Genomic DNA, 8,691 nt, shown 5'->3' with positions numbered 1-8,691 from the left:
TCCAATGGAGAGAGTGCTGTGAAGGACAGATGAGGTGGGAGCAGAGCTGGAGTAGGCTGAGCCTGAGGCAGCAAGTGAGCAGGTGGCACTTGGGAGCCAGGTGGCCAGAGCCCAGTGGACGAAGGGGACAGTGGCGGGAGGTGGGTTAGGACAGAGCGAAAAGAGCCATGTTGCCAGGGGTAGGTAGACCGGGTTAAGGAGTTCAGACTTGATCACCCTAAGAAAAAGGGAAAATTCCTGGAAGGTTTTAAGCAGGAGAGTGACTTCCTTTATTCTAAAAGTAGAAATAGAAGAGAAGATGCTGATGTGGTCTCTACGGAGCTCCTGCTATCCACACCAGCTCTGGAAGCTTGGCCCATTCTGTAGGACCTCCATGCTCCCTGCGATTCCGGCCCCAGGTGCTGAGACATCTATCCTGCACGGGTCCTGCACAAGGGGTCTCACTTAGAGGGGCAGTGCAGGTAAGTGAGCTGGGACAACCATGTGCAGAAGGACAGAGGCTGTGCAGTGTGAATTGCTCACTCAACAAACACTTACTGAGTCCCTCCTGGGGGCCAAGAACTGTGCCAAGCATAGCAGGTGGTGATGTAGCCACAGCTTCAACCAGGAAAATGTAAGAGCTGATTTATTAATTGATTGATTGATTAATTGAGATGGAGTCACACTCTGTCACCCAGGCTGGAGTGCAGCAGTGCCATCTTGGCTCACTGCAACCTCCGATTCCCCGGTTCAAGTGATTCTCCTGCCTCAGCCTCCCGAGTAGCTGGGATTACAGGCACACACCATCACACCAGGCTAATCTTTGTATTTTTAGTAGAGATGGGGTTTCACCATGTTAGTGAGGCTGGTCTCAAACTCCTGACCTCAGGTGATCCACCCGCCTTGACCTCCCAAAGTGCGTGAGCCACCGCAGCTGGCCTGTAAGAGCTTTTTTAAAATTTTTTTAAAATTTTTATTAAAAAAATTTTTTTTTCTGGTGTAAAGATATATGTATATATAGTTAGCCAGCAGGACTCAGTTGAGATGATCCAAATTTTGTTGACCATCCAAAGCATGGTCCTCAGGAGCCAGTGGAACATACGTCTTCTTCTCTCCATCAGGCCGAATCAGGGTGTTGACCTTGGCCACATCAATGTCATAGAGCTTCTTTACAGCCTATTTGATCTGGTGCTTGTTGGCTTTAACATCCACAATGAACACCAGTGTATTGTTGTCTTCTATCTTCATGGTGGACTCAGTGGTCAGCAGAAACTTGGTGATGGCATAGTAGTCAAGCTTGTTTCTCCTGGGGGCACTCTTCCAAGGATATTTTGGCTGCCTCCAGAGTTGCAGTGTCTTGGACCAGTGTGTGGTTCTTCTTTTCCTTCTCCTTCTTCTTCTGGCTGTGGATGCCTTTCTGCACTGCCTTCTTGGCCTTCAGAGCCTTTGCTTTGGCTTTAGGAGGGGCAGGATCTTCCTTCTTCACCCTCAGCGCTATCTTGTGAAAAGGGTCCAAAGAGCTTTTCTAAAAGCAGCAGTTGGAAGATCTGTTTTGTGGGTGATGGGTGGTTTTTTTTCTCCATTTGCTATCCAGATAATTGGACAACACCTGAGTGAGACGTGCCTCTGGCTGGAGACTGTGGAGTACTCATGGGCATCAGGTAGCATGGCCAGGGAGGAGAAGGGGGCTCTTGTTCCTGCACATCTGACAGAAAGAAGTGTCCTCGGTGTCAATACATAACATACAGGAGCAAACAGGACTGGGCCAATCTCTTAGTCACTCCTCGAGTCACTCAGCCTCACAGGTGTTGTGAGCTCCTGGAAGAAGTGAAGCAAAGCTATGCAGTCTCGGGTCAGGTGAACTCAGCTGGAGGGATGAGAATTGTGTTAGTATGAAGAGTCAAAAAAATCCACAGTCTTTATCCAAAAACTTTACTTTTTTGCTTTATTATATTTTATTCAGATTATTCGGTTAATTTCTTTGAAGGCCCATGGCTTGTTAGTTGAAAGTCAAAGCTCTTTTTCTTACCAGGTGCTTCCCCTCCTCAGCCCGTGTTTCTTCATGGGTGGGTTCAAGCCAGCGGTGATGGTTCTCACTTGTACTAAGTAAGAGCAGGGTTGTTGAGGGTGATGTGGAATGAAGCATTTCCCAAACTACTCAGTGGCTGCTACTGTCTTTGAGCAGTTCCCATGCGGTGTGTGAGTCCAGGCAGTGATGACATGAAAACAGTCAAGGTGAGCATAAAATCATTATTCGAGTGTGAAGTCAAACTACTGCAGTAAGAAAAATCATTCTTGACTCCTTTTTAAAAGTGCACTTAGCACACATTTCTCACAGCAGGTTGGAAGGATTCTGAGAGAGTGCACAAATTTCCACGTGATGCCACTTTTTAAAAAGAAAACCATGCAAGTGAAGTGCAAAGGCATCCAGCCTTTGATTTTGGCCTTGAATCAGGCAGCCAATGAGCTGCTGTACCATCCCCCCTGTCCAACTCCTCTGTTGTTCTAAATGTAAGCCGCAGGTGCTTCCGTGCTCTCTCATCTAGCACAGACCTGGTGTCTGACATAGAAGTCTCATTCTTTTCCTTTCCTTGGATGACCTCTGAAACTCTGGCATGCAAAAGCACACATGTCTATATGGCTCTTTCAGATACATCATTTACAGCGCTGTTAATAGGCACACTTGGACACATACACCTTTATTGTTTCTCAATTTTTTTTTTTTTTTTTTTTTTGTGGAGACAGAGTTTCACTCTTGTTGTCCAGGCTGGAGTGCAGTGGTGCAATCTCAGCTCACTGCAACCTCCACCTCCCAGGTTCAAGCGATTCTCCTTCCTCATCCTCCTGAGGATTACAGCTGCATGCCACCATATCTGACTAATTTTTGTATTTTTAGTAGAGGCAGGGTTTCATCATGTTGGCCAGGCTGGTCTTGAACTGACCACCTGCCTCAGTCTCCCAAAGTGCTGGAATTATAGGTGTGAGCCATCGCGCCTGGCCTATCTTTTCAATCTTAAAAGCCACGCATCTAGCTGCTGTTGTCCAGCATGCAGGCAGCATCCCCGATGCCGGTGCCGCACTTGCGGCTGCTGCCTTAGACCCCCAGGTGGACAGAGACTCGGATGATGGAAGCACCAGGGTGGAGGGGGATCTGCATCAGGGGTGCTGGCAGGAGACTTTTCACGTTGCCCCCGAGGACAGCCACCACCATGGAGAGGACCAAGTGGCACTGAGGGACATGTGCTGTGCACATATGGATGGACCTTCATTGCTTTCCTGTCCCCCGCAGAGATGGATAGGCTTGTGGTCCTTTCTCTTTTCTTCTTCCTTAAGCCAGTGAATGTCTTTTAAATCTTTTTTCCTCCATAGTTCCTTTGTCTTTGGTTTCAGTTTTTCTACACTCTTTTCTGAGGTGTAAAATATTCTAGATAGAATCATAACGCTTTAATACCATCTTCTTCACCTCCGGAGCCTCATCACCTGGCACCTGGTGTGCATGTTAAAAACATGCGTGGTGAGTGAATAAACTACTGAATTTGTTTTTTGTCCACACACACGCACTATCCATGCATACCAAAGCCACAGCAATTATGACATTCATGCATAGAAAGCTGGAATATATTTCACCATGGGAAAAATGTTCTTATTGATTCAGAATCAAAATGGAGAAGCAAGTACAGGATGATGATCTTAATGAGCTCTTTTAGAGCCAAAGAAAGGTACTTATCTGGTTACTTTAAGTAAGGAGGGTTTATTAAAGGGACATGTGAGGAAATAAAGAAATGAGGAATGTGTCACCTGGCAGGGGTCAGGAGGATAGAGGGGAAGCTTTCCCATTCTGAGTGCACAGCAGCTCTAGGGACGGGGCTATGTGGTTCCCGGGGCAGCAGGAGCACTGACGTCCCTTCTGTGTCTCAGCGCCGCTCCCCTCTCTGGTGCTGGCACTCCCTCTCTACCCGGGCATGACTTATTTCTCCAGGGATCCTGTGGCCGCTGCTTCTTCGCCTCGATGCTTTCCCAGGCTGCGGGGCCTCCAGGGCTCTGCTCCTGCCTTCCCTTCCACTTTACTGCCCCTATTTTCTAACTCTGTATTTCACATTCAAACTCCCCAAGAGGAGGATCTGATTCATGTGTGACAGTGGTGAAAGTTAAATTAACCCCCGAGCCCAGAGCATGGATATTCAAACTAATGAAAACAAGCCACACTATAACGTGCTTCAGTGATTGTCAGAAACCAGCTAGTTTAGAGACGATCCTTCGTTGGGGCTCTCCCACCACAGGCCTCTTAACGTGGACGTCAGCTCCCCCTAACTAACTTCCTTTCAGGAGAAAACAAAGAGAAGTCCAGCCTCTAAGACTGAACCTGCAAACCCAGAGGAAAGGACCCTTTTCCCCTCCCCATTCTGCCATCCCTCGCCACCCTCTCTACCTCCACTCACCATTTTCTCTCCCTTCCTTCTGGATTCAACTCTCATCTCATTGCCCTCTGAGTCCGCTCCTCAGGGCTTCCTGGCAGCCGCATCTGCAGATGCTGTAGGCTCCTACACCCCTCGCTCGCACTGTTCTGGCGGATTTTCACCTTACCTCCCCACTGCTCCCTGTAAGTACGCTAAAGGCTGTTTGTGTTTTGTTGTTGTGTCACAGCCATGTTGGTCCTTTGTGAGTGCCACAACCCCCTACGCTTTCCCCTGCCCCGACTCCATCCATTCCCGCCTCCCTGGCTCAGCAGACCCAGGCTTCAATCTGGGGAAGTTGAGGCACAAGCAAAGCCAGGCTGGCAGTGTTGCCCAGTGAGGGGGCACTGCTGGAGCCCCGCCCTGCAGCTCCGGATCTCATGTCCTGGAGTAGCACCGGGCCTGTTTCCCACTTTTCATTCAGCTTGTTCGGCACGTCAGGGCACAGGAGGCAAGAACAAACCTCCTCACACTGGAGAACTCAGCTTCGTTCCTGTCACCGCAATCACGTGCGTGACTGGTTTCAACTCAGAAAGACTGGTGAATGCGGTCTTAGAACTTGCCTTGGGCAGGGCTACGAGGTGGAAGTAGGCGGTGTTTGTCCTTGGTGCCTGTGGTGACAGTGTGGTGGCTCACCAACAGCCAGTCCCCTGCTTTCCCTTCCTAACAAACTCCCAATTCTGTTCTGGAATAGGTTGACTGAGGGAAGATGGAAGCAGTTCCACAGGAAAAATCATGATGAGTCTAAACCCACCATGAGAATCCCAGTCCCCTTAGAGAGGGATTGGGTTGGAGCAGTGGGGAGTGGGGATATGGGGCCCCATTCTGGCCAATGAGATGTAAAGTCTGTTGGGGAATTTGGCAAAAGGTTTTCCATTCTGTTGAAAATAGAGTTCCATGAAGAGGATTTACCCTTTCCTTCCTGCCTTGGCATATTGTCGTGTGAGGATGTGATGCTTGGAACTGTGGCAGCCATCTTGTGACCAAGAGGGAAAAATACAGAGACAGCAGAGAAGCTGACACAGAGCCTGGATACCATCAAATCACTGGATCAATACGGAACTGTCTTCTTCTGTACTTAGTATATGGAATAACAACCCCCCTTGCTTTAGCCACTCTTAGTCACGTGTTCTGTTACTTGCTGCCAAAAGCTCCCTGACTGATGTAGCAGACACCAACATACCTCTGGACCTCCTGGGACAGGCCCACAGTGGTGGATTTAGCCTGGGGAAGCCTGCTGCACACAAGACTGAGAGGAAGGGTGGATAGGAGGGTGGATGGATTCCTCTACTGACAACCTTAGCCAAGAAATGGCACCAGTCCCCAGAAGGTGACAGGATCTGCTGTTGTCCCCACTTATGACCCCAGATGCCACCCCAGTCAAGTGTCCCTATTTGTATCTCTCAGGAGATGATTCGGAAAGGAAACAAATGAGGGGACTCAGAAGTCAATCCCATTGCTGAGCCATTGGGCTAGGATGAGGTGTGGTCCCCATGGAAGAGGGAACCCACCCAAAGCCATTGTAAACGGCCGTCATCTGAGAAGGCCAGGCTGGAAACCCAAATGCGTGGGGCTGTGGGGTGGGGAGGGGGAGATAACCAGTGGCCAGCCAGAGGAGCTGATGCCCATGCTAAGAGACCTGTGGGTGGGAGGGCCCCAACAAAGGAGAGTCTCCACAAAATAAAGTAAAATCCACCCAACCCTGAAGGAAAAGGAGCTATGACCTCTCCCAGGCCCAGAAAACACCAACCTTTGATCACAAAGGCACCTGTTGGGTGAGGAAGTTCCTGTCCTTACTTTTCCTTTGGAACACTGGGCAAGGAAGAGATGGAAAGCTTAGGGAGAAACGGGAACCCCTCTTTTCCCTCTACACCTTCCAGCCCAAAGAAGAAGCAAGCTGTGAGAAGCTTTAACATTATAAAACGTTTTTTAAATTATTATGAAGGTTTTCACATATATACAAAAAGACTACAGGAATGAACCCCCATTCACTCATCCCCTACTCTCAACGATTATCAGTATTCCGCCTTTTATGTTTTATCTATTCTGCCCTGACACTGTTTTTCCTAGAGTGTTTTAAAGCAAATCCCAGACATTGCATCACTTTACTGGTATGTACTTCAGTATATGTCTCTAACAGATAAGGATATTTAAAAAAAAAACATAACCACAATAACATTATCACACCCAGCCGAACTAATACTATTCCTGTAATATCTAATATCTAATAGGCAGTCCATGTTCAATTTCCCTGCTGGACTCAGAAATGAATTTTTCAGCAGGTTTCTTCAAATCAGGGTCTGAACAGGACCCTTGCCTTTCATTCATGGGATAGGCCTCTTAGCACCTCGCTTTTCTCCTGATGGATTTTAGCAGCCACTAATGATTGCCGCGAAGCTCCACTATTTCTTTTGGGGGTTGCAAAACTGTGATTTTCTAACAATGTAATTACTTTGCTATCAATTAGGTGGGTTCTTCTATTAAGCACAATTTTCCCCTGTTGACTGTTTGGTTACTCTGAAATGCAGTCTGTATATGAAAAGCAGAATAGGGCCGGGCGTGGTGGTTCATACATGGAATCCCAGCACTTTGGGAGGCTGAGGCAGGCAGATCACTTGAGGTCAGGAGTTCCAGACCAGCCTGGCCAATATGTTGAAACCCCATCTTTACTAAAACTACAAAAATCAGCCAGGTGTGGTGGCAGGCGCCTGTAGTTCCACCTGCTCAGGAGCCTGAGGCAGGAGAATCACTTGAACCCGGGAGGCAGAGGTTGCAGTGAGCCGAGATGGTGCCACTGCACTCCAGCCTGGGCGACAGAGCGAGACTGTCTCAAAAACAAACAAACAAACAAACAAACAAACAAAACAGCAGAATAATGCTGGATTCTTCTACGTTATAGACCGATTTTCAGAATAATGTGTAGGTGCCATAGCAGCCTCCAAAGGGAGCTGATAAGTTTGGTATTTTTGTTTGTTTGATTGATTTAGTGTTACTATAAGCCCATGAGTTTTTCCTATATTTGATTGCCACCATCTTTCTTTTTATGGTGGTCAGATTTTCCTCTTTGGTGAGCTGATGCACCTTCAGGTTGGGTCCTGTGTTGTTTTGAAGATGTGGTCTAATTATGTCCTTGCCTTCAGGATCAAGAAATCTTAGGCTCATCTTGTACATTTTCTGCTCCAACTCTGACACCAACCATTTCTCCAAGGAGCCCTGGTTTCTTTTAGTGGAAATTGGTACTTACAGACCAAATCTGTCTGGAGAAGCATTTCCCTTTAAATTAAGTTGGAGATTCAACTATAACATGAAATTGGACATTTTTAATTACAGAAATGAGACTGTACTAAAGTGAATGGAAAGACTTCTGTTTTCTGAGGCTGATGAAAGTCTTGGGACCTGCCCTAACTCACGTCTAGCTCTGGGCAAGTGAATCACCATTTCTAGCCTCAGGTTTTCTCATTTGTAAATGGGAATAGCAACACCTACCTCAGTGGACTATGATGAGAATGAAGTAAGAGAGTTCATGTGTAAGGATCTTCGTCTAATACATATTCACCCAGCGGTGGTAGTCGTGATAGTTGTCATCTTTGAAGCCCAGAGCAGAGACCCACCCTGCCAGAACACCAGGGAATGCCTGGGTACCAGAAATTACCCAGAGGATGGAGGGTTCAAAAAGGATGGCCAGATGGGGACTGGCACAAGCCATCTCACAGCTGAACAAGGGTTCACTGTGCACATGTGCGGATGTGTAGATACACATGCATGGGCACAAACACTGCTCTGAAGCAGCATACCCCACACTGCAGGCTGGGGGTCATACTGAGAGCACGTCAAGCATTCTGATGATGTGTGGGCTATTATTAATAGTAATTGCAGTAATCACATATGAACCCAGCATAGGAACTGCTACTATTGCCCTGAAAATGTGTGAGTTAGCAGCCAACTCTTTGGAATACTGAACACATGATTGCACCCGGCAATGAAAGAAAAGGGAGAAACGGCACGTGTCTGGCCTCACTCAGAGGTTTGGTGGTGATTTTACCCACTTCTTCATGTGCTGCTGCTGAACATAGCTGGTCAAGTGACCTACAACTGAGGAGACACAGGGCTTCAGATGACAAGATGAAGCCAAATTCCCAGCCTTTCCTAGGAGAGCACATCAGGTATGCAAAGTAGTTATGAGCGCCAGGAATATTTCCATGTAGAGAATGAAATAGAAAGGAGCATGGCCGTGAGGGAAGGCGTGTGTCTGTGAGGG

The 8,691-nt window shown here is 47.6% G+C and overlaps 1 pseudogene; it reads right to left on the bottom strand.

The window, feature by feature from the left end:
- Positions 975-1,492, bottom strand: RPL23AP69 (ribosomal protein L23a pseudogene 69; annotated as a pseudogene).

This window comes from Homo sapiens, chromosome 13, assembly GCF_000001405.40.
Source record: "Homo sapiens chromosome 13, GRCh38.p14 Primary Assembly".
NCBI lineage: Eukaryota > Metazoa > Chordata > Mammalia > Primates > Hominidae > Homo > Homo sapiens.
The sequence above is the reverse complement of the archived record's forward strand: the minus strand, read 5'-3'. Positions and strand labels throughout refer to the sequence as shown.